The 26,940-nt window shown below is 41.8% G+C and overlaps 1 protein-coding gene and 1 pseudogene across 2 annotated transcripts in view; both read left to right on the plus strand.

The window, feature by feature from the left end:
* TVP23BP1 (TVP23B pseudogene 1) lies at window positions 471-937 on the plus strand (annotated as a pseudogene).
* The window catches only part of GABRG3 (gamma-aminobutyric acid type A receptor subunit gamma3), a 570,804-nt gene continuing 550,619 nt past the window's right edge, over window positions 6,756-26,940 (plus strand). For both annotated transcript variants that reach the window (NM_033223.5, NM_001270873.2), the window contains exons 1-2: window positions 6,756-7,163; window positions 12,577-12,725. In NM_033223.5, coding sequence (NP_150092.2) covers window positions 7,111-7,163; window positions 12,577-12,725 — 202 coding nt within the window. In that variant the 5' untranslated portion in view covers window positions 6,756-7,110. The remainder of the gene's footprint in view (window positions 7,164-12,576; window positions 12,726-26,940) is intronic.

Consider the following 26,940-nt stretch of genomic DNA (forward strand, 5'->3'; position numbering starts at 1 on the left):
CATGAGAAAGACTCACACAGAGGTACATTCTACAAAATACTTTTGTCTACTGAAACTACTGTGTTGTGAAAGATCAAGAATGGCCACAACCTGTTCTGGACTAAAAACAGACCAAGTGGACACAATAACTAGTGAAATGTGTGATCCTGAATGGGTTCCTGGGCTATATGGGAAAAATGCTATTGAAGGTATTATTAGATCAGTTAGAAAAATTAGTCTATGTACTGTAGATTAGATAATATTATAGAAACTTATAGTATTATTTTTACACATTTATTTGTAAACTTGTGAATACTTCCAAGAGAACAGTTTTAAAAATTGGGGGAAAATTTAAAAGCTGATGTATACGGAGATGCAAACAACCTAGAACAGCAATAAGTAAACAAATAAATGAACAAATTCAGAGCACTAACAATAATAGATATTAAGAAAATGAAAGGCCATAGTAATTTTTTAAATGTGATATTAGGGGGCCGGCACAGGGCTACCATGTTGCATCAGTACAGTAATGATGACACTGAAGACATTTCAGTGTTGGATGTGGAAGAGACAATAACAAAACAAAACAATCCAAAATCAGATATCCAGTGGCCTCACGTTTCCAGCTATTCTTTCAAGTCTGTGCAATTGTGGTCTACCTTCTTTGCAAATTGGTCAGCAGCAGCTTTACTGCTTGTATGGTGACAACTATCTTGTCATGTGACTTTAGGGCAGTGACGAATGTCACAGGTAGACTAGTGGTGGGTCTACGGTGTTGGAATCACATGATGAAGATGGAAAGAGCCATTGGGTGCTTGAGTCCAGAAAGGCATCCTCTCGGGAGGACAAAACTGTCTCAGAGGCTGAATCAAATCTTTTGGTTGGGACTTAATGCCTGTCCAGTGCTGTGGGTGATATTTATCTTTAGTGGCCTCATCTCCTTCAGGGTAAAGTGGTTAGCAGTGGTTATCATGAGTGTGGTGCTACAAGGTGCCAACCTATATGGCTACATCAGGTGTAAATAGGCAACGGAAAGAATGTAACCAGCATGGGTCCCTCATACTTGGAAAGCAGTTTTTAAGACAAAACACTGAGGATGATCAGACTTTGTGAACAGAGAGAGAATGCTTATGTGCTTTGTTACAGTGGGGAGCAAACAGAGATTGTTGACTCTGAACATTTTAGACCTCGGTCCATGATGCAACAAGGAATGTTGGCTTTGTTTTTCACTTAAAATCTTTAGTTAAAGCAAAGCAAAGTAGTTTTCTTATTAAGTTTTTATATCCTTTCCAGTAGTTGGGGCTAGAATGCATGTTGTCACTGAAGACATTGTCAACATTTGTTTTATGGTGTACATAAAATATGCACACAGTCATGTCATATCAATATATCCCAAACTAATGAAAGTGTGTTCATTTACATATGTAATGGAGACCTTTGTATTTTGGTCCATAGAACACAGAAGGATGTTCTTAGTCTATCTCAAGCTCTATATGTTTACATATTACTTCTGTATATTACTTTCCGAAGTAAGTTTTGCTTCCACAGTAAGAGTGAGCAGCTTGGCTCATGTATACCTTAGAAATTATTGTTAATTTTTAATATATACTTCACGTTGACATTTCTTAGACATACGCAAGAAAGTAAAAACCACATTTGGGCCAGTGATGTTAACTAGTTTCTAAAATGTTATTTATTTTTATTCGTAACAAGCCATTTACTTAAGTTTATGTAAAGGGATAGTTTATGCTTAAGGGATAGCAGAGGTTGTTGCTGTTCTGTTTATTGTATAGAAAACATGGCCAGATTTTAATTTAGAACTTCCTGGAAGCTCTTCAGTGGACTTTGAGCTAATACAATATATCTTTTGTCACCAAAAGAGTATTATTCTTATGTCATAATGAGAACAATAATTTGCATGCGTGGCATAATAAATGCCTAAAAGACATTTTATTTTATGACTCTATTCTTTGCTATAATAGGGATATTGTAAATCATATATTTGTATAATATTGGTGGTATTTATTAAAGCAATAGATGTAATGGTAAACAAAAAAATATGAAAACACAAAAGAGCTTCTACAAATAAAAAGAAAGCCAACAGTCTAGTTTTAAAATGGGCAAAAGACTTAAATGACACTTCATAAAAGAAGATATTCCAATGGCTGGTAAAAATTTGAAAGAAGTTCTATGAAATCAAAACCAGAATGAAATACCAGAATGGCAGGCCAGGCGCGGTGGCTCATGCCTGTAATCCCAGCACTTTGGGAGGGCCGAGGTGGTGGATCACGGAGGTCAAGAGATCAAGACCATCCTGGCCAATATGATGAAACCCCGTCTCTATTAAAAATACAAAAAAATTAGCTGGGTGTGGTGATGTGCGCCTGTAGTCACAGCTACTCGGGAGGCTGAGGCAGGAGGATTGCTCGAACCCGGGAGGCAGAGGTTGCAGTGAGCCGGGATCGCGCCACTGCACTCCAGCCTGGTGACAGAGCGAGACTCCGTCTAATAGAAAAAAAAAAAAAAGAAATATCAGAATGGTGACAAAAATAATGGCAAGGCCACATTTCATCAAGGGTATACACCAGAACTCATATATTGCCAATGCGTGATGAATATAACTGCTTTAGAAATCTCTGTAGTAATATTTATAATCATGAAACACATGCCTTCCTTGTGATCTGGACATTCTATTTTCAGTCAGATAACCAAGAGAAATGAACACATATGTCCATCAAAAGACAAGAATATTCATGTTAGCTTTATTCATAACATCCCAAAGTTTCAAACCCAAAAATCCATTGGCATAGGAACAAATAAATAACGTGTGGTGTATTCACACAATGAACTATCATGCACAGCAGTAAAAAGTAATGAATGACTGGTAATGTAGCAATAAGGGTACATCTCACAGACACTGCACTGAGTGAGAGAAGCCGGAGGCTAAGTGGATAATACTGCATGACCACATGTATGCGAGGTGCAAGACTGGGCAAAACCAGGCTTCTGTGGCCAAAGCCTGAATAGTTGGTTACCCAGTGTCGGCACTGACTTGAAGATGGCCCAGCCACTGGGAATTACATAATTATATATTTGTTATATATAATAATCCAGATGCTATACATATGCTATTCATATACATATGGTATACACATGCGAAATAGTTCACTGAGCCATACTTTTAAGATCGGTGCATTTTTGTTGTGTGTGCATTATCCCTTGATAGTACCGTTTTGATTGACAAGGGAAAGGCGCTTTTTCAAAATATAAAACCACGAAACATCATGTAACCCAGAAGTACAGTTTTGGGAGTGGGAGAGATGTTTCTCAAAGCAGAACCTGGGGCAACCACGGAGCAGCGGATGCGCGCTGAAGGGCGCGTGGGCAGCGGGGTGGTTCCGCGGCCTGCGGGGCGCAGCGCGCCACCGCGGGATCTGAAAGGCGCTTCCTGGCAACGCTGCTAGGGTCCCGCCGCCCCCGCCGAGGTGAAGTCCAACCCGCAGCTGCGCGGGCAGCCCAGGTCTTCCCCAGAACCTCCGGAGCCGAGGACCCAGCGCCAAGCCAGGAGCAAAGCAGCGCGCCAGGCTGGAGCTGTTCCGTCATTACCGCCACGTCTGCGCTTCGGTTGTGAGAACCGATTCGTTACCCTAACCTCTTAGGACTAAGAGCCAGTCTTCTGGTGGCGCTCGCTTTCACTTACTTTTTATTTCCCTTTCTATTCCCGCGAGCTAGGGGGAGAAAGTGTAAATCCCGCCCGCTTCTCCAGGGCTGAAAATGGAGAGGCTGAGGCGGCTTGGAGAGTGCGCACTGCGCATGCTCCGCAGAGCATCCCCGCAGGTCAACCGGGGCAAGGGAGAGACATGAAAGCCTGTGGCTTCTCCTTTGAAGATTCTTTTTTTTTTTTTTTTTTTTTTTTTGAGACGGAGTCTCGCTCTGTCGCCCAGGCTGGACTGCGGACTGCAGTGGCGCAATCTCGGCTCACTGCAAGCTCCGCTTCCCGGGTTCACGCCATTCTCCTGCCTCAGCCTCCCGAGTAGCTGGGACTACAGGCGCCCGCCACCGCGCCCGGCTAATTTTTTGTATTTTTAGTAGAGACGGGGTTTCACCTTGTTAGCCAGGATGGTCTCGATCTCCTGACCTCATGATCCACCCGCCTCGGCCTCCCAAAGTGCTGGGATTACAGGCGTGAGCCACCGCGCCCGGCCCCTTTGAAGATTCTTAACCTTGCATTTTGCTTTCACACTTAACGCCTAGAAAGCTTGCTTTGATTTTTCCCCAACCTTTCAGCTCATTTAGCTTTAAAAAACAAAATCTCGTTCCAGGAAGAGGGGAGGGGCTTTCCAAGAGAAAATGTTCAGACGTATCAAGTTGACCTACTCAATCTAATAAATGAAGCGAAGCATTCCAAAGGCCAGAGGGGATCATCTTGCATTCATTCATAATAGCACGTTGAAATATGCAAGAAAGGAAAAGAATAAAGAACACAGGGATGTAAAAACAGTATTGCGTTTTCTTGTTCACTGATTGAATTGTAAAAAAAATAATAACAACAAACAAATCTCAGGACACTTCTTGTTTACTGATATTTTACAAAATCACTCAAGTAACAGTCTATTTCTATTATAAACAACTTGTGAGTATTTTAACTCATGCTCAAAAAATAAATAATATGGTAAGAAGTCCAAAACTTTCATCAACTAGCCCAACAACAAATGTCAGCTGAGCACCTACTCAGGCAGACAGTATGGTATAGTGATTAGGAATGAAACATTGGAGCCAGCTGCCTGGCTTTTAACCCCCAGTCCTCACCTACTAGCTGTGTGATCCTGGGGTAAGCGACTTAACTTCTCTGTGCTTTTTCTCTATATGCGAAACGGAAATAATGTTGTGAGAGTTAAAATGAGTTAATCAATGTAAAGCCTTCCTGTCGGCCCTGGCCCCTGTTATGTGATCAATGTCAGATGGTTATTTTTACTTATGTTCCTATTACTGTGTTAAGAAGGGAAACACAAAAGAATTGTTTCTACTTGCAGCATTCTTGCAGCACACTCAGGCGTGGTGGCTCATGCCTGTAATCTCAGCACTTTGGGAGGCCGAGGCGAGCAGATTACTTGAAGTCAGGAGTTGCAGAAGAGCCTGGCCAACATGGTGAAACCCCATCTTTACTAAAAATACAAAAATTAGCCAGGCGTGGTGGTGGGTGCCTGTAATCCCAGCTACTCAGGAGGATGAGGCACGAGAATCACTTGAACCCGGGAGGTGGAGATTGCAGTGAGTCCAGATGACACTACTGCACTCCAGCCTGGGCGATAGAGTGAGACTCAAGTCTCTTATGTGGAGACGACATAAGCAATGAAGGAACAATAAATCATCATCTAACTGATTTTTAAAGTGCTCAGATTTTGGTACAGAAAATTAGAGATTAGGGCAGAGTATGATAAAGGCTCATATTCCCCTGAAGCCTAAAGGAGTGGTACAGGTGTTGGAAGTGGAAGAATGCAGGAGCGTCAGAGTCTTCATCAAAGAGGGGACCTTATAGGGCATGTGCACCTAAGTAGGAGGGATGTGCTGGGCAGAGGAGGATGAGAATGCCAGAAAGAGTCCTGGAAAGGCGGGGAGCTGGGTGAGTTCAGCACCTCACAGAGACAGAAAGGTGATGCCAGGGAGATGACAGCTCCATTGTTGAAAAACAATATTGTCATTAACAACTGCACTCCCCTCCACTTCATGCCTATCCAGAAACAAGGGGGAACACACCAGAGGAATACAGGCCCATGCCACCATGCCCAGCTAATTCTTTACTATTTTTTGTAGAGACAGGGTTTTTGCACATTGCCTAGGCTGGTCTCGAACTCCTGGGGTCAAGTGATCCGCCTGCCTCGGACTCCCAAAGTGCCGGGGTTACCGGCTTGGGCCACTGTGCCTGGCCGAACAAAGCTATTTGACAATATTAAAGAAACAGTTATCACACCCTTACATAATTCTATGAATAGCAGTTATAAAACATTTTCTAAGAACTTTTTGGGGGTGATAGAAATGTAAAATTCCTAGTGGATTTACTACACTGTTGCGATTGCAATACTTACATGGTGCAAGACTAACTTTCTGAATGATTATGACAAATGAAAGCGTAAATGCCATTTTCGGTTTTTGGAATATGAAAATACATGGAATGAGGCGCACCTCATGCTTCCACCAAACGGAACGTCTTTGGCTTCTTGCCTTAGGATCTTTCTAGCTCCTACCTTTAACATGCCTTTCCACCTCTACTGTTTATTGCTATGTGTTAGTCTCTCTTTTCTGTAAGAAAGGCATAAATCTGGGGTGCTTTTTTCCCAAATATTCCCGCAGAAAGCCACCTTTCCAAGCACAGAATCTTATCAGTGCCTAGGAGTTCAGCCGACTTAGCACGAAGAGTGCGATGGAAGGGCTGCTTTTGGCAAACCGTCTCAACCCCGGGCGACGGCGGGCACGGGAGGTCAGGGAGCGCTGGAGGAAACCTGCACTGGGGTAGAAATGGCTGGAGGAAGGCGGACCGCGGGCTCGCTCTCATGGTGCCAACCCCGGGGACCTTTCTTCAGGCTCCCTGCGGGATCCCCAGCCTCCCCTCCCCCTCGGAGCTCCGCCCCCTTCCTGGCCTCAAACTCCGAGTCCATTCAAACCTCGCCTTCCTCGCCCTGCGCGTTGTCAGGCGTGTAATTGGGGAAACTCCTCCCCGCCGGGACCGCCTCGGAGGCGCTGCCAGGGGACAGCCGCCCAGCTGCCCCCACCTCCCAGCACAGCGCACACAGCCCCGGCCTGGGCACCCGCGCCCGCTCGCGGCTCCAGGCGGGGTGGGCGGCGCCGCGCCAGGGGGTCCCCGGCGCCCATTGCTCCCGCCGCCCGGTTGCGCGGACCGGCGCTAGTGCGCGGGTGGGGGCGGCGCGCCGCGGTGGCCCGGCGTCCCGTGTGCGTCCAGTGTGCGCCCCGCGGGGGCGCGGCCAGCGCCAGAGTAGATACCTGTCCCGCCCGCCGCGGCCAGCAGCCTCGGAGGAAGCCAGGGCAAAGAGGGCCGGCGGAGACCAGGTCCGCGCCGGAGGAAGCCGCGCCCGGCCGAGGCCCCGGACCCTGCGCCCCGAGCTCCACGGCACCATGGCCCCGAAGCTGCTGCTCCTCCTCTGCCTGTTCTCGGGCTTGCACGCGCGGTAAGTGGCGCGGGGGCCGCATCCCCGGAGGCCCCGAGCTGGGCGACAGGGCGGCGGGGGGCGCTGTCTGCTGGAGTCCCTGGCGCGCCAGCCGTCGGCTGGGCTGCGGCACGGCGGGCCGGGAGGGGACTGGGAAGTCGGTCTGCACCTCACCTGTCCCAGCTCCCTTGGACACGGTCATCTGCTTTTTCCTCTGCAGCCGGGAGTGTGGGGACTCAGATTAATGGGCTCGTCTCCTGACGCTTTTAGGATCTGGTGGTTTTAAGGGGTTTTGAGAACCAGGTTCAGGGGGCAGGGGCCATTTCTGGCTCCTTACCGACCCCTAATTCCCACCTCAGCTGTTTCAGGGGCTCACACACACACACACTTTGGCTGACATTCTCTGTCATTTCCATCACTCTGAAATTTCCAAGAACCCGGGAACCGTGGTTCTAACTGCCTAGTTTAGACCGGGCTGGAAAGAGCTAATGCATTGGAGGCAGGCGCGGGGGGATTGGAACCAGGTGGGCAGAAGAAAGCCCTGCTTGTCTGGGAGGACTCCCCTCCCAGGTCCTGCAAACACACACACACACCTTCCACATCAGCCACTTTCACACAGAGGAACACACGCACTCCCACCCCCATAAAGCACGCATGTCGAAATGGATAATAAGGCTTCTGCCTGGTAATGTAAGAAATCATCTCACCATAAATTCCGCAACCTTCCTCCCAGTACACCAACCGGCTAATGGGAGCTTAGAATCACTCTAGAAGAGATGAAGAGGGCGCATGAGGATACAAGGACAGTGGGACCCAAAGGGTTAAATCCTGTTGCTGTAAACACAACTGGAGATTCTGGGTTTAGTTTCTTTAATTCTGTCTCTCTGGCTGGATTTCTGGCTAGAGCTTGCAGACTGTCCTGTTATTTGAAAATTGGAGCAGTGTCTGGCCTTTACCTCTTTCCCCACCCTAGGAAGCTCAGCGTGCCCCTATCCCCCAAACCCTCTTGTTTTGACGCTTCTCCATTTCCTGGGTCTGGGAGCTAGAGAATCAGAGGGCATCCTTGCGTGCACAAGCCTGGCCACCATCAGGAGGCAATGCCAGGAGGCCTTGCCTTTTCATTCCTATTTGTGAACTACCAAGGAGCTAGGAAGACACATGAATAAATCCTACTAAACATGAAGGGGGCCCCCAGTTCTCACTCCTGAATTGGGCAGGGGTGCTTACCCTGAGGAAGGAAGCCCTGGCCCTCCCCCTTGCAACTGCTCCTCTTTGCTGAGTTGAGTGTGGAAGCCGACTCCACCGGTGACTCACAGGCAACTCTTTCAAAGAGACAGAGCACTCCTTGGGCCTTTCAGCTGAAGTTTCTTTCTGTCTCAAGAGGCAGCTGGTGCAAGCAATGGAAACATGCTTTCTGAGGTTGCTTCTTCCTGGTTGTATCTCTGTTTAGAGATGGAGAGGGAGGCAGACAGCACCGGGCATAACGCTGAGGCCGGCAGTCACATCTCTGCCACCTTTCTATTGCCACCAACTCAAACGAGTGACCAGCCGTTCAGGGTTCAGTAATCAACTGTTTAGGTCTCTGGATTCTTAACATTCTAGAAGAAACACTGCCTATTGTCCTCACTACTGCATGTGCTTAGTAGGAAGATACCTCAGCCTCTGCCTTAAAACAGTCCGGTTACTGGGGATTCCCAAATATACACAAAATCTCTTGGGATTCTTCATCCTTCCATTCTACTAAGACAGACATAATGATTTTCATTTGTTCTCTATTTGGGCTCGTTCCCCAGCTTTCATAATAGAGCTTGCAGATCAGTTAAAAAATCCAAATTTTATACTAACTTTATTGCTATATGCCTCTTCTTTGAGAGTGTCTTTGTTCTCTGAATGGGTTTTACAGACATGTGAAATAATCTGATGTGCAGTGTCATCTTTCAAAACTGTTTTAAATTTGGAGGGGTTTCTCATTTGCACTCTGAGTCCCTTCCTGCTGTGGAAGTTCCTTGGATAAGGGTCTGATGGCTGTGCTTTGTGGTGATGGCTCAGCAGCTCCCCAGAAGGGGGGACTCCCCATTTTGACACCCATGGGCATCATAAAACGCACTGATTCCCACTCAGACCTTGGTGATGCCTTAACTGCTTTCTGAGGTTTAGGAACTCCTTTTAATGCTTAAAAATACTTCAGACTTTTTCTCTGTCCTTCCGCTTTAAGCTAAGGTGTAAGACATGAAAATAACATCTGAAGGTTGAGTTGTTGTTTGACTATGACAATACATCACTGATTTATTTTTAAGGAAAAGCTAATTTCAGTAATGGTGTTTAGGATCCAACAATGCAAGTAACAGTGCTCATAAAGATTATATATAACTTACTTAGAATTTAGGGAAAAGAGAATATTTCTATATTATCCACATTCTAATGGGTCCCCTGAGATGAGATTTCATTTTTGTCAAAGCAAGGATTTTCCTGTGGGCCTGGTGGTCTGGCACTAGCAATGTGAGGCTTCTATTTCATTTTCAGGATTTGAGGGAGAAGGGTGCTCACTGCCCAGGGACCTAGAGCATCTCGGCCTCACTCTGCCCACTGCCTACCCAACCAGGCTACACAGCTGGGGCCCTGATATGCCTCCCAAAGGGGTGGAAGAGAACGTTCCTGCTTTCTTTTTCTTGGTCCCCCTCACTGCCACCTGTCCTGGCCTCTAAGGAGGAAGCGCTTGCAATTTCAGGAAAACCCTCTCATCACCACTAGAGGGAGAATTAGGCTTATTACAATACCTGTAAGTAGCTGGAAGTAATTTTTAAAAACTAAGGCTGCGTATATAGAGAATGATGAAAAGCTGGTTACTGTGCTCGGTTTGTGTGTATGTGATTATCAGGGCCATAGACAATAACACAGGGTGGAGGCTGTGGTCTGGCTCTGTAGTGGTGGGGGTAGGAGAGGGGAGGAGAACGGGAGGGGAGGGGAAGAAGAGTGAGGCAGACCCCCTCACAGTGCCCAAGACAGAGACAGCAGAGGGAGGGAGGAAGGCACCTGGGCTGAGTCGCCAAGTGTCCTGAGCATGTTGTGCCTGATTCTGCTGAGATGAGCTACCGGCCTCTCCTCACTGCCCCAGATGCCCTTGCTGTGGAGTGATTTGCCCTGTCCCGTGGGCAGTGCTTGATTCCCAGCTATCTAAATGCTTCAACCTGCTCTTTAAGTTTTAAAAAATTTTTGCAAGATGATAAAATTAACATTTCTGATAATATTTCAGATGACACGAAATATTTTTTAAATTTATTATTATTATTATTATTATTATTATTATTATTATTATTATTATTTGAGATGGAGTCTCGCTCTGTTGCCCAGGCTGGAGTGCAGTGACACTATCTCGGCTCACTGCAACCTCTGCCTCCTGGGTTCAAGCAATTCTCTTGCCTCAGCCTCCTGAATAGCCAGGACTACAGGCATGTGCCACCATGCCCCGCTAATTTTTTTTGTATTTTTAGTAGAGACGGGGTTTCACCCTGTTGGCCAGGCTGGTCTGGAACTCCTGACCTCAGATGACCCACCCGCCTTGGCTTCCCAAAGTGTTGGGATTACAGGCGTGAACAACCATGCCCGGCCAGATGACATGAAATATTTTAGAGTAACATTTAAAATTCTGTAGTATTACTTGTAAATGTTCACTTTAATAAATAATGAAATGCAACATATTCCTTACTGAATAGGTGCCCCACATTTAAAAATTCCTATCGATCGTGAATATCCAATGTGCATAAAAATCAACAGCAATTTATAGTTTCTATGGATGATTCAATTTAACCTTCTAGCCAATAGGTACTCAAGAAATAGAGTTATACTTTAAGATCAGCCTAGGAAAAACGTAAGTGGGGAAGTCATTCTTTGAGACATATGCCGTATACTCATTGTCAACATCTCTCATTTATGTACATGTTCATACAGGTGTAGACTATCTGGCCAACACTCTAGTCTACGTTATGGCTAGTTAACACGCTTTAAAAGACTCATGTATATATTACATAAATATGCATGTGCATATATATGAAGACCTAAATTAAGTGGAAAAAATGAATATGAAATTTTATTTTTTAAATTAACATCTTGTTAATTATAGATAATTTAGACAATTCTCAAAATTAAGTTCCAGAAACTTATATCCCAGAGCACAAGTGTCCTGACATGACACTAACATTCTGGCTCCCATCTGGGAAGCTAAACAGAAAAGAGTTCATATACAGTCAGGACAAATCCGCTTCCGTGCAGTTTTCAATTCTTTTTATTCTCTTCTGTGAAGAAAAAGTCACTAAAGCATCCACACTGACAAACTAGAAAGGAAAAGTTTGGTTTGTTTCACATGCTTTCTTGCTGGGGTCAATGGTAGTCTGCCTGGAAATGCTGCTTTAAGGCAGAAAGAGACTGTCTGCTCTCCAAGCCCAAATAACTATGGTGTTGAGACGGCCTCACTCATTGAGAAAACCAGCTTGTCAAGTACAAGTGTGTGCCAATTATAAACCAAACATTTTTTAAAAAACCCAAAACTGCAGAACCAAAAAAAAAAAAAGGGAAAACTAGCCGGTCATCCTGAGGCCTCTCCATTCAGGCACTCCTGTCAGTGTGTGTCACACGGGAGAGGAGGCTGTCCAGCTCCTCCCTGCACAAAACAAGCTCAGAGATGCCCAGGCATTCACTGAGACTCATTTACTAAGAAGTCAGAATGTTGAAGACTTATTAGAAAGCTTAGTTCTTCATGTCTGTGTTAGCCTGCTGTGCAGGAGATGAATCAGTTTGTGTTGACCGAGGCGTGCAAGATTGCTAGAGGGTCTTCACCAGTCATCAGCGAACATCGCTGTCCTTGCCTCCAATCTGAGTGCCGGCAAAGCAGACCCCCTCACAATGCTCAAGTGCCTAGACCCCCAGATTCCCGCCTCCAAGAGAAGCACTGAGTCAGACTCAACTATTTTGAATGAGTCCACTCTGCAAAAGCTAATCTCACCTTCAACGAAAATGAGGTCTTGGTGGTCAGGGTGGAAACACCACGATGCAGTCACCATATAGAAAACCTCTAGAAGGTTTGTGCCTTGACCTTCACAGGCTATCGGGGTGGATCCAAGGGTGTGTTGCCTGCTGGTTGGCCCTCTGGTGTTGTTTACCTGCCACGTTGTCTGTAGTTTAACTGGGATGGGGGATGGTCTTCTGGCATTTAATAAAAACATACCATGTTAATAGCAGTAGCATTCTTCCTATGGAATCATTCGTATTTTGTGTTTCTTTCTTTTTAGAAAATATTTTCGGGTTTTCACGTGTGTGGTTGGGCTGTGGGTACTGGGGACTTTCTACCCATTTCATGGTACTTGGATAGGACAAACTTAGGCTCTTCCTAGAGCCATTGCTGCCACTTATATGTCGCATTTTTGTGCTGTAACTCCAGGTCCAGAAAGGTGGAAGAGGATGAATATGAAGATTCATCATCAAACCAAAAGTGGGTCTTGGCTCCAAAATCCCAAGACACCGACGTGACTCTTATTCTCAACAAGTTGCTAAGAGAATATGATAAAAAGCTGAGGCCAGATATTGGAAGTGAGTGTTGTTTTTTGTTATTCTAATAGAAAAATATGCTGTAGTGATATGAAGTTTTTACTTTTGAGTAATTGTGAATTCCAAGAGTATTGCAAAGATAGTGCAGAAAGGTTTCCTGTACTTGTCACACAATAGATAACTTAGTGTGATACCAAACCAGGAGACTGACACTGGTGCCATGCAGGAACGTGGCTCTGTGTCATTTTATCCCATGTAGACTTATGTAATGATCCTTGCAGTCAAGATACAGAACTCCTTCATCAACCGAAAGTGGATCTCGTATCACCTCTTGCTATCCCTTTACTGTCACATCTGCTTCCTTCCCCCAAAATTTCTAACCATTGTCAGCCTCAAATTTGTTCAATTTGTTATTTTATTTTTATTTATTTTTTTGTCATTTTGAGAATGTCACGTACATGGAATCATTGACCTTTTGAGACTGGCTTTTCTTTATTCAGCAAAATGATTTTGAGATTCATTCAAGTTGTTACATGTGTCAGTAGTTTGTTCTTTTTTACTGCTGAATGGTTGTTCATGGTATGAGTGTATCACAGCTTCTTTAGCCATTCATCTGTTGGGGAACATTTTGATTGTTTCCTGTTTTTGTCTATTGCAAATAAAATGACTGAGCACATTTATATACAGGTTTCTATGTGAGCATAAGATTGTATTTTTGGGATAAATACCCAGGAGTACGATTGCTGGGTTGTGCGACAGCAGTATGTTTAATTGCTTAAGGAACCGTCAAACTGTTTTCCAAAGTGGATACACTATTTTTCGTTTCCCCCAGCAATATCTGAGAGATCCAGTTTCTTTGTGTCCTCACCAGCAACTGGTATTTTCACTATTTTTTATTTTAGCTGCTCTAATAGGTATATATTTAATAGGTTGATACCTCATTGTTGTCTTAATTTACATTTCCCTAATTGTTAGTGATACTGAACTCTTCTTTTATTTTATTTATTTATTTATTTTGCCATCAGTATAGCCTTCTCATTGAATTGTCCCTTCATGTTATTTGCCCTTTTAAAAATTGGATTATTTGGTCTTATTTTATTTTTTTACTGCTGAAATTGAGAGTTCTCTGTATATCCTAGGTATGATCCTTTATGTCAAATATGTAGTTTGCTTTTCATCCTTTTAATAGCATCTTTCACAGAGGAAAAGTTTCTAATATTGATGAAATCCAATTTATTGATTTTTTTTTTATGGAGCATGCTTTTAGAGTATTGTCTAAGAATTCTGCATGAAGCCCTAGCTCTTGAAAATTTTCTCCTTTGTGTTCTTCTGAAAGTTTTGTAATTTCATCCTTTACATTTTAATTTGTTATGTCTTGATTTTTATATAAAATAAATATGTAAGATTTAGATCTAATTTCTTTTCCCCACCCTCCATGGATGCCCAATTACTCCAGCACCATTTGTTGGAGAGACTATCCTTCCTTGACTGAATTGCTTTTATGAAGTTGTCAAAAATCAGCTGGCTTGACTGGTGTGGGTTATTTCTGGTTCTCTGTTTCGCTCTGTTTTATCTGTGTGTCTGTCACTCTGTCAATACCCACAATTTTTATTACCATAGCTGTATAATAAATCTTCAAATTGGATCAAGTAATTCAACCTCTTTATTCCTCCTTTTCAACATTAGCTCATCTTAACTTCTAATAGTTCGTATGCTTTTCAATATACATTTTAGAATAGTTTTCTCTGTAACTACAGAAAAATCCTGCTGGGATTTGGTAGGAGTTTGTTAAGTGTAGATATCAATCTGGAAAGAACTGGCATCTCTACTATGTTGCATCTTCCAATCCATGCATATGATAGGTCTCTTCATTATTTAGATCTTCTTTATGTTCTTGTATCAGTGGTTTCTAGTTTTCAAGAGGTATGTCCTGAATGTATTTTGTTAGATTTATGACTAAGTATTTTGTTTTTTGGAGCAATTGCGAATAGTACTGTATTTTAACATTTCATTTTGCCTGTGTTAATTTCTAATATACATAAATACAATTGATTTTGGTATGTTGATGTGTTCTCTGACTTGCTGAACTTATTAGTTATAGAAGTTTGGGACTTTTTTTGTTTGTTTGTTTTGTAGGTTCCTTGGCATTTTCTATGTACACCATCATTGTCATCTGCAAATAAGGAGAGTGTTCATTCTTGCTCTCCAATCTGAGTATCTTTTATTTATTTTTTCTTGCCTGTTGCACTGGCTAGAACTCCCAGCACTGTGTTGAACAGCAGTGGTGTGAATGGACATCTCTGCCTTGTTCTAGATCTTAGGGGCAAAGCCTTCAGTCTTTCCCCATAAAGTATGATATTAGCTGGAGGTATTTTGTACATGTTCTTTATCCAGTTGAGAAAGTTCTCTCTATTCCTAGTATTCTGATACATTAAAAAAAAGTTTCATGATACTTAAAAAAATCATGAATGGGCTTTGAATTTCACCAAAGACTTCCTTTTACTGCATCAATTGGTATGATTTTATGATTTTTTTCTTTAGTCTGTCAATATGGTGGATTATATTAATTGATTTTCAAATATTGAATCAGTATTGCATTCCTGGAGTAAATCCCACTTAGTCATGGTGTTTAATAATACCTCCTTTTGTATATTGCTGAATTCTGTTTGTTAATATTTTGTTAAGGATTTTTGCATGTCTATGTTTAAGGGACTATTTTTTTGAGTCTTGGGTAATATGAGCTTTATACAATGGGTTGGGACGTACTCCCTCATCTTCTGTTTTCTAGAAAAGATTATATAAGGGTTTGTGTTAATTCTTTAAATGTTTGATAGAATTCTCCAGTGATACCCTCTGGGCCAGGAGATTTCTTTTCTGGGAGTTATTTCATTTCCTTAATAAGTCTATTCAAATTATCACTTTCATATTAGGGTTGTGGTGGTTTTTTTCAAGAAATTGGTCCATTTCTTTAAAGTTGTCAAATTTATATGTTTAGCATTGTTCATGATATTCCCTCATAATCTTTTGTGATGTCTGTAGGACCTATAATAATATCCCTGCTTCATTTCTGATACTGGTAACTTGTGTCATCTTCCTTTTTTTGTCAGTCTTGCTAGAGGTTTATTTTATTGACCTTTTTAAAGAACCAACTTTTTGTATGATAGTTTTTCTGTTATTTTTGTTCCCAATTACATCAATTTTGCTTTTATACTTATTATTTCCTTTATTTTTCTTGCTTTGGGTTTATTTTGGTTTTCTTCTTTTTGAAGTAGAACTTAGATTCTTTTGGCCGGGTGCGGTGGCTCATGCCTGTAGTCCCAGCACTTTGGGAGGCTAAGGCAGGAGGATCACGAGGTCAGGAGATCAAGGCCATCCTGGCTAACACGGTGAAATCCCGTCTCTACTAAAAAATACAGAAAAATTAGCCAGGCGTGGTGGCGGGCGCCTGTAATCCCAGCTACTGAGGAGGCTGAGGCAGGAGAATGGCGTGAACCTGGGAGGCAGATGTTGCAGTGAGCTGAGATGGCGCCACTGCACTCCAGCCTGGGCCACAGAGCAAGACTCCTCTGTCTCAAAAAAAAAAAAAAAAAAAAAAAAGAACTTAGATTCTTTTATTTGAGACTATTCTTTTCTTATGTAAGAACTTTTCCTTTTTGTACTTCTTTAATTTCATCCCATGAATTTTGGTATGTTGTATTTTCATTTTCATTCAGTTAAATGTATTTTTTAATTTCCCTTGAGATTTTTTTCTTTAACTCATGAATTATTTAGAAGCCTGTTTTGTAGGGGAACAGCAGACACTGGGGTCTATCTGAGGGTGGAGGGTGGGAGGAGGGAAAGGATCAGCAAATATAACTAATGGATACTAGGCTAATTACCTGGGTGATGAAATAATCTGTACAACAAATTTCCATGACATGAGTTTATCTATATAAGAAACCTGCACATGTACCCCTGAAGTTAAAATAAAAGTTTTTTAAAAAAACAAGCTTGGTTTCATAGAGAACTTTCATCCCAACAAGGACATGATTTTTCAACTGAGAAACATTCCCAAATTTTACTCTTGAAGAGGGAGATTAACCATTGTGTTTTAGGTTTTGAAATGGAATTGTTTCCAAATTTTGGCTTTTGTGAATAAAACTGCTGTGAGCATTTCTGTACAAAAAAAGAGAGTGTGCTTTTAGTTTCCAAGTACTTGCACATATTCCTATTATATGTTACGGATTTCTAGCCTGATTCCACTATGATCAGAGAATATACTCTATATGAGTTTAATTCTTTTAAATATGTTAATGTTTGATTTACCATCCAGGATATGGTCTATCTTGGCAAATGCTCCACGGTCTTGAAAAGAGTATGTATCCTGTCATCAATGGATGGACTGGATCCTGTTGTCTGATAGTGTTGTCCAGTTCTATATCCTTGCCTATTTTCTGTCTAGTTTTCTATTGATTATTTGAATAGATTGACAATTGATAGATTAAAAAGTAGATTCTGACCCAAGAGAGGAGTGGTATATTTGGCCAGGAGGGAAGTGGCACATACAATTGCTGGTACAGGCATGCACTGGCCTTGTGGTGACAGTAAGGGGAAGTGGGGATTGCAGCAGACGCACCGTCGGCAGGATGTGCCTGACCGTGGCTTGCTTCTTCTCCTTCAGGAGGCTCCACTGCCTGATAGCTTCCTAGCACTCACACTGCCCAGGCACACTGTCCCTCCATTTTTCCAAGCCCAGGACTCCAGCATGTCTGTAGCAGGACCTAGAACTATGCTGATTCCAGTAGCCATCGAATTTCAAAATCCATGTGTGTAGTGTGGGAGACTTTGAAGATGCGTGTCTAGTGCAGCGTTGGAGAAATCATATCACCCTTCATGCCTCAGTTGCCTCTCCTATGCAATGAAAGAGAGGGACTAAAATGACTCTTAACTTTTCCTTCCAGCTTTAAAATATTTCTTCAGTGAGTGATATATCTAAATTACCATTGCACAAGTTCACAAATTCAATTGTCACCACAGTGTTTGCATCCTAATTAGATAGAAAATCTTTCTAGTGTGAAGAGTGTGCAGCAATTCTGCATTTATATAGAAAGAGATGCTTTAGAATATGTTACTAATTTCCTCCTTGATTGTCAGACACTGGTCAGTCAGAGAGCAAAGATACCCAAGACTGGTTCCTTGCTCCTCTGGATAAGCTAAGTCCAGTTGGAAGTTCATGTATCCTGTGGTAGGCTACAGTGAAGCACCTTCCTCATGGTGTCACTGGGCACCACATGGATCCCCTGAGGTAGAAAATTGCAAATGGGGAGACAGTGGGTGAGCTTGGCTTCCAACCCAGATCTCTCTGGCTCTATAGCAAGATGATTTGACCATTGCACTATTTGTAGAAAACTCAAGGCAAGCCTATTCAAAAATATTCCTCACACCCCAACAATGCAGCGCTTGCAAGAAGATATATTAAGGTGCTGCCATGTGCAATAGGCAAGCAAAATTCACAATTCTAGAGATTTTTCCACTGTGTACACAAGGAATTGTGAATTTCCCAAATAAAACAGCATATGTACACACCAAGAACAAGTGTTCATTTCAAAGAAGGCAACTCCCCTAAAGCATCCTGTCATTTAGTCCTCATAAGTCATCATCACATGTGAGAACATGCTCTGTGCTTTGTGAGTGAAAAGATTTTTAACAAACAACTAAACATAAAGTTATGAGGTAGGATGCTCCTCTTTGGTTTTGTGACTTTAACGTTCCACCATGATCATCATCTGGTCCCTGGGGCAGCAGAGGGGGCTGATGAAAGCACCCATGATCCCTGGGACAAATTAGGACTTGTCTGCCTGTCTCATTTAAATGCTAAATCACGTATCATTGGCAGAACCCAGCAACTTGATGATATTCAATCAGAAAACAGAGTCACTACCCAAGAACAGCTCTCCCGGTAAAAGATACTGAATTAGAAACCATTTTCTTTCATGGCTCAGAAGGGCTCTGCTTTAAAAGAGAACTTCCTATAAACATCTGAATCCCTTTTCTTTTCTCATGACTTTTTTTTTTTTTCAAATCTAGCCAATTTCATTTGCTATAACCATCAGGCCTTCTCATCCCTTATCAAGGTGCAGTGAACTTATATGTACATAATGTGCTGTACATGGATTTACTATTAGTTTGTGGGAGAGGCCAGCTCATTGCTCACTTCCTTTACACCCCCGACCCTGGTACACCCTGGGAGCCCCCGGGAGGCTCTCCACACTTGCGATCTTCTGATGGCGAGAGACAAAGAAGGGGACTCTCCAGATAGCACTTCGGAGTAGATAGGGGCACTCCCACTTTGGTCTAAATTAACCTGTTTAATTTGAAACTCTTGAAAGTTGCACTTCGCTTCTCAGATAAAGACCAAGTCCCTTAAAAATGACATTAAGATGGAAGGCTGAGGCAGGAAGATTGCTTGAGCCCAGGAGTTTGAGACCAGTCTGAGCAACATAAGAGACCTTGTTTCTACAAAAATAATAGTAAAAAATAGTCAGGTGTGGTGGCACATGCCTGTGGTCCCAGCTACTCAGGAGGCTGAGGCAGGAGGATGGCTTGAGTCCAGGAGTTCAAGGCTGTAGTGAGCTATGACTGTGCCACTGCACTCCAGCCTGGTAGATGGTGCAAGAACCTGTCTCTAAAAGGAAAATAATTTTAAAAAGACATAAAGAGACAAACCTCAAGCCTCAAACTATTATCTGTTTCTTTTCTACTTCTCCACTACCATTTGCTGACTCTGTGAATCACGTGCCGGGTACTTCAGGGACACTAGACCTCCTGTTTTCTTCTTCTGGACCCTTGATTTTGCTGCTGTCCTGGCCCGTTTTTCCCCCGTCTGTGCTGAGCTCACCATGCCTGTCTTCGAGCCTCGTTGTCGCCCCCTACAGGAAGCCCTCCCTCATTTCGTGTCCCTTCCCCACCTCCCCACTGTGGTGGTGAGTTTCTTCTAGCATCAGTTTTTTCATCTTTGAAACAATGATAATACATTTTGAAGGCCTGTCTTGAGGATAATGTGGTATGGTGTGACATGAACAGTTTCTACAGCATTGTTGTGTACTTTCCACATTGTACAGCTGAGGACTGGTCTTTTTTTTTCCCTCTAGGGCGCTGTTTCCAATTCCTAACTATAGAGGCATCCATGTATGTTGGCATCTCCCAACATACGTGGTCCAACTGCAGCAGGGCGATCCATCATCAGGAAACAATTGTGCATCACTGTTATTTTTAACAACAAATAGATGGGATTTAATAGACTCGTTCGTTCATGTTGCGTGGAAGTAACAAATCTGCATGGAATCCTCTAATTAGTTTTCATAATACAAATTGTGATCATTATGTTTTAAAAATAATGACTCCTCTCCTAGACATTATTTCTTCTCAACTAACTTCTAAATTATGGATATATCTGTTTTAGTTCCCTTCTTTATCCATCCTTTTAAGTAATGCTTCAGCCCTGTCCTTAGCTGGTTCAGGGTGATGTAGGGTGTCATTTTTCTTGGAACAGATCTTGTCATGTGAGCTGGGAAAGGCTGGAGGAGGATAAACCTTTTAAGAAAATCACGAAAAGGAAGAGAAATGGCCTAAGTAAATTTCACTTCCTTCAGGGTTTCAAGAAACTTAAACCACTCTACTGAAAGCAGATGATTAGAGAATACAGATTCCCTCCCCAGTATGTGGGCAATCAATCTGTGCCAAATATGGTCATGCTGGGAAAAACAGAAGGTTACATATTGGCTTTTAAAAGTGAATAGACACTCTGTGGAGTCCTGGGCAACGCTGACTGATGGGTTCACTGAATCCAGGCAAAACATCTGAATCATCTTGTCTTGGCCGTATCAATGGCTAGAGGGCTTCTTCAAGTGTTTGCATATCTGAACTTCTGTTCCAGGCTTTTCTAAAATGTATTTTCCCAGTTCAGTTGAAACTTCTGCTAAATATGGAATAAGAATATTCAGTATGTGCTGAAGCTGGTTGCATGGTGAGGAGGTGAGGTGTGTTATGGCTGCAGCCCATGGCAGGAGATCCCAGCCTCCTCCTCTGCCAGGGCTGCCCACACACCCCACCTGGGCAGGAATGCTGGAGGAAGGTGCCACCAGGGCTTGCTTTCTTCCAGCTTTCCAGGCTGGACATGACACCGGGCACTGACTCAGGATGGCTGAGATGATGCAGACAACTCCTTGCTGGGCAGCGCGAGAGGAATCCCTGCCCGTTCCTGGATGAGGAAGTGAAAACAGAAAATGACTGTAGAGTGGGGCTGTGTCCCCCAAATAGGTCAGGAGTTAGTTTTGTTGCAGATACTAGGTTTTAAAACAACTAAAAGCAATAAAATATGGGCCTTGAATTATAATTTTTAAATGAGTCTTCTTATGCAGCTCCTTGATGTCTTTCAGTGAAAAATTATAAGCACAGTTGAGTTGCCTTAGAACTCTAGGCTGGAAGCTGAGGGAGCACTGGTCACAGATGGGCCACCTCCAAGAGGATTGGATTAGCCAGTGGAAAGCAGACGAAGCCCCCCACTTGCATTTTTCTGAGCTGGTCTTGGTGTTAATGGAATAACCTCGCCATGCCCCGCCACAGGTTTTGAGAGATTATGTTGGAACGCCCTGTTTAAGTGAAATTTGGAGTGTATGAAGGGCCGTACAAAGAACCAGATGTATGATTAAGATACTATGATTGATAATGAAGGCATACAATAGTCCTTCATCCTGATTGTTTCCGTATTTTAAGAAAAATAGGAGACACAATGTTTTAATCCAAAGGAGTAAAGTACAAATGCCACAGTGTAGGTGAAGGAAGTGGGAGTTGGAGGTAGAGTGTGAGATATTTTGGGGTCCCTCGATCCACTGTGTCCTGATGACTCACCATCTAGGTGCCCCAGGCTGGTGGCTGCCTGCCGGACCACCCCTCTGACTCAATGAATCAAACCAACCTTTTCCTTCTCCATGCACATCTGGTAACTGTGTTAGCTGTTCATGTAGTTCAGCCTGGCCAGTCCTCACCTGAAATCCACAGCCCACCGTGCATACAAATGACTTGTCATTTACCAGCAATTACTGTATATCCAGAAAATAATTCAAATGTATTCACTCCACTCTCGGAACAGATGTAGGAGGAGAGGAAACAGACATTCTTAATTGCTGTGCTTGAAGTAAAAGCTATTACTGTAGAGTTAGTTAACTGATTCTCTCACAAAGTTAATTCAAATGCATAAGGGAGGTGGAGAATAAATTTTGTAGAGAAATTATACCTGTCATCTCCAGGAGAGACTAAGTAGACATCCAAAGGCCGCCGAGTTCAGACCTCAGCTTAACACACGTTGGCGGCTGAACTTTCCCCACCTCTTCCTCACCACTTTGGGCAGCTGACCCTTCGCACACACACCTGAGCACCTAGGATTGCACCATGCCACCCCTATCGAGGTAAAGCTCCGTGTGAGACAGTGCTGTGTTGGAGCCCACTCATGCACTTCACAGTTCATTAAAAATATGTGCTGGATTTCAAAAATAGGGAATATATAATGTGGTTTCAGCATCTAAGTATTTTATTTTTTCTTATATGCTGTTTGGCAAATAACTCAGGTGACATGTCCTGAGGTATAATCTAGTGCTGGTCTTGATTTGAATATTCAGCTCAGTTCATAGAATAACAAATGATCTGTTTCTTATGTTTATTCATTACTGCTCCAGGAATTGAGCAATGTGGATTAGAAAGTGTTTGAGTGAGAAAAGATCTGGACTCACATAATGAGTTATCCCACCAGTTACCAGCAGGTTTCAGAGTGAAAGAGACAGCCTCACTGGACCGTGGGTTTCTGTCTCTAAACGAAATAATTAAACCTATATTCCAAGTCCTGCTGTAAGAATTACAGGTAATGCACTTTGGAAGGCCAAGGTGGGCGGATCACGAGGTCAGGAGATTGAGACCATCCTGGCTAACATGGTGAAACCCCATCTCTACTAAAAATACAAAAAAATTAGCTGGGAGTGGTGGCAGGTGCCTGTAGTCTCAGCTACTCGGGAGGCTGAGGCGGGAGAATGGCGTGAGCCCGGGAGGCGGAGCTTGCAGTGAGCCGAGATCACACCATAATTCATAAGATGGCAGGGGGCATCAGGTGCCTTCCATACTTCCCAGCTCCACACAGTGCTTCGGCTTCTGTTTCGGGTTGGTTTATGAGTACCGGAATAGAGCCCTTAGACAACTTTACTGTCGTAAATGCTTTGCCTTACATTGAACTTTCAGTTCAGCTGTCTGCATTTCATCACTCTGTAATTAACATCCATATCCAAGACATCTTACAGATCCTCTTATGAAGTATTACTGTGCCTATACTGATCAGATTATCGTTCTCATAATCCATAATTCAAGGACCAATGTAAACGCAAGATCATAGTTTCCTAGGATATCATGGTTTGAAGGGATTCTAAAGGACATCTAATCCAACAGTTCACAAACCTGGCATTACGTCAGAACCGCCGGAAGAGCTGGAAGTCAGAGCCCAACCTCAAGAATTACTGAATCGGAATAGTTATTCCGTTTTCTAGTTCCTTGATTTCCATTTTGATAACCGTTCTGCTTACTTTGTGTTTCATGTGTTGTTTTTCTAGTTTTGAGGTGGAAGACGAAGGCATTGATTTGAGACGTTCTTTTCTAATTTTCATATTTAGTGTCATTAATTTCCTCCTGTGTATTACTTTATTAGCATCCTATAGATTTCAGTGTTTTAATTTCACTTACATTCAATAAAAAACAGCTCCTAATTTCCTTTTTGATTTCTTCTTTGACCAATGTAGTATTTAGTGTGGTATTTATTTTTCAAATATTTGAGGTTATTCCAGATATCATTCAGTTATTGATTTCTAATTTAATTTCACTGTGCTTAAAGAACATACTCTGAATAACATAAATCCTTTTAAGCTTATTGAGAGCTGTTTTATGGCACAGAATATGGTCTCTCATGCTGTGTACTTGGAAAGAATGTATATTCTGCTGTTGTTAGATGCAGTTGTTTCATAAATTAGACAAATTAGGTGAAGTTGGTTTATACTTTTGTTAAAGTCTACTTGCTGCTTTTCTATCTATTTCTATTAATCAAGAGTGAAATCTTGATATTTCTAGCAATAACTGTAGCTGTATTTTTCTTTAGTTCTATCAGTGTTTGAGTCATGAATTTTGAAGCATTATTACCAGGGGTAAATGCATTTAGGATTTTTATGTTTTCTTAATTAATTAACCACTTTATCATTGTATAATGAACGTCTTTATACCTAGCAACATTCTTTGCTATGAAATCTACTTTGTCAGGTGTTAAAATAGCCACTTCAGCTTTTCTTTGACTAGTGTTAGTATGGTATATACGTCTTTCCATCCTTTTACTTTTAACCTATGTTTGTCTTTGTGTTTAAAATGTGTTTCTTGTAGATGACATATAGGTGAATCTTGCCTTTAATAAAAAAGCCCAATCTAACAATCTCTGCCTTTAAATTGGAGTCTTTAGACCATTTATATTTACTGTTGCTATTGATGCAGTTTGATTTCAGTTTATGATCTTTTTATTTTTCTTTCTTTTTTTGCTCCTTTCCCCTCTTTTTATGATTGTCTTCCTTTATTTTCCTAATTAGCCGTAACTACAATTTTATATTGTTATTTTAGTGGTTGCATTAAAGATTTATAGTATTGTATACATTTTTAACTTATCACAGTCTACCTTCAATTAATATTATACCCTTTCAGCATGGCTGAAAATATTTTTATTTTGCCTGTGTGAAAACATCTTCATTGAAATATGATTCATATACCATAAAATTCATCCAATTATAGTGTACAGTCCAATGGCTTTCAGTATATTCACAATATTGTGCAGCCATAATTTAGGTTTAGAACATCTTCATCTGTGCAAAAAGGAGAAAGCTACTCACTCAGGGGTAGTCACTCCACATTATCCTTGCCACTCTTCTTTGAGCCCTTGGTAACCAATAGTCTAATTTCCATCACTATGAATTTGCCTGTAATGTACCTTTGATATAAATGGAACCGTTAGAATAGGTGACTGGTTTCTTGAATGTTTTCAAGGTTTATCAATGTGATAGCATGTATCAGTACTTCTTTCATCTTATTCTTAGTTGCCAAATCATATTCTATGTTTGTGTTTTGTTTGTCTCTTCATCAGTTGATACTGATAACATTAAACAGGCATTTTGATTGTTTTTCAATAGTGGATATTCTAAATAATGATGCTATGAATATATGTATATAAGTTTTACATGGATAAATGTTTTGATTTTTCTTAGATATACATGTAAGAGTGGAATTGCTGGATGATTTAGTTTTTGACCGATTTTATTCAACTTTTTTATTGTTAACTTTTGTGGGTATATAGTAGGTATTTATGCTTATGAGGTACATGAGACATTTTGGTACAAGCATGCAATGCATAATAATCACATCGAGGAAAATTGGGTATCCATTGCCTCAAGTGTTTTTTTATGTTACAAACAATTCAGCTATATGCTTTTAATTATTTTAAAATGTACAATTAAATTATTTTTGACTATAGTTCCCCTCTTGTGCTATCAAATACTAGGTCTTGTTCATTCTTTCTAACTATTCTTTTATATTCATTAACTGTCCCCACCTTCCCCTCCTCCTCACCACCCTTCCCAGCCTCTGATAACCATCCTTCTAGTCTCTATGTCCATGACTTCAATTGTTTTGATTTTAGATCCCACAAATAAGTGAGAACATCCAATGTTTGTCTTTCTGTGCCTGGCTTATTTCACCTAATGATCTCCAGTTCTATCTATGGCATTGCAAATGACAGGATCTCATTTTTTAATAGCTGAATAGTATTACATTATGTATATGTGCTGCATTTTCTTTATCCATTCATCTGTTCATGGACACTTAGGTTGCTTCCAAATCTTGGCTATTGTGAACAGTGCTGCAATGAACATCAGAATGAAGATATCTCTTCCATATACTAATTTCCTTTATTTTGGGTATATACCCAGCAGTGGAATTGCTGGATCATATGGCAGCTTTGTTTATAGTTTTTTGAAACACTTCCAAAATGTTCTCTGTAGTGATTTATTAATCTACATTTCCACCAACAGTGTACAAGGGTTCCCTTTTCTCCACATCCTTGCCAGCATTTGTTATTGCTTGACTTTTGGATAAAAGCCATTTTAACTGGGGTGAGAGGATATCTCATAGTTTTGATTTGCATTTCTCTGATTATCAGTGATGTTGAGCATCTTCTCATATGCCTGTTTGCCATTTGTATATCTTCTTTTGAGAAATATCTATTAGAATCTTTTGCCCATTTAAAAATCAGATTATTAGATTTTTTTTCCTATAATGTTTGTGTGAGCTCATTATATATTCTGGCTATTAATCTCTTGTCAGATGGATAGTTTGCAAATATTTTCTCCCATCTGTGAGTTGTCTCTTTACTTTGTTCTTTGTTGATTGTTTGCTTTGCTATGCAGAAGCTTTTTAATGTGACGTGATCTCATTTGGCCATTTTTGTTTTGGTTGCCTTGCTTGTGGGCTATTACTCAGGAAATTTTTGCTCAGACCAGTGTCCTAGAGAGTTTCCCCAGTGTTTTCTTGTAGTACTTGTAGTAGTTCCATATTTTAAGGTCTCGGATTGAAACCTTTAATCCATTTTGATTTTTTTTTTTTTTTTTTTAAGACAGAGTCTTGCTCTGTCATCCAGGCTGAAGTGCAGTGGTGCAATCTCGGCTCATTGAAACCTCCGCCTCCTGGGTTCAAGTGATTCTTTTGCCTCAGCCTCCTGAGTAGCTGGGACTACAGGCATGCGCCACCAGACCTGGCTAACTTTTGTATTTTCAATAGAGATGGGATTTCACCATGTTGGCCAAGCTGTTCTTGAACTCCTGACCTCGTGATCCACTCGCCTTGGCCTCCCAAAGTGCTGTTATTACGTGATGTGATTTTTGTTAAGGCAAGTGATGGGGCCAAGTTTCATTCTTCTGCATATGAATATCGAGTTTTCCTAGCACCATTTATTGAAGACATTCTTTCCCACCAGTGTCTTATATTCTCAGCACCTTTGTCAAAAATGAGTTCACTGTAGGTGTATGGATTTGTTTCCAGGTCCTCTATTCTGTTCCATTGGTTTATGTGTCTGTTTTTTATGCCACTGCCATGCTGTTTTTGTTACTATAGCCTTGTAATGTAATTTGAAGTCAGGTAATATGATTCGTTCAAT

The sequence above is a fragment of the Homo sapiens genome, chromosome 15, assembly GCF_000001405.40.
Source record: "Homo sapiens chromosome 15, GRCh38.p14 Primary Assembly".
In the NCBI taxonomy this organism is placed as follows: domain Eukaryota; kingdom Metazoa; phylum Chordata; class Mammalia; order Primates; family Hominidae; genus Homo; species Homo sapiens.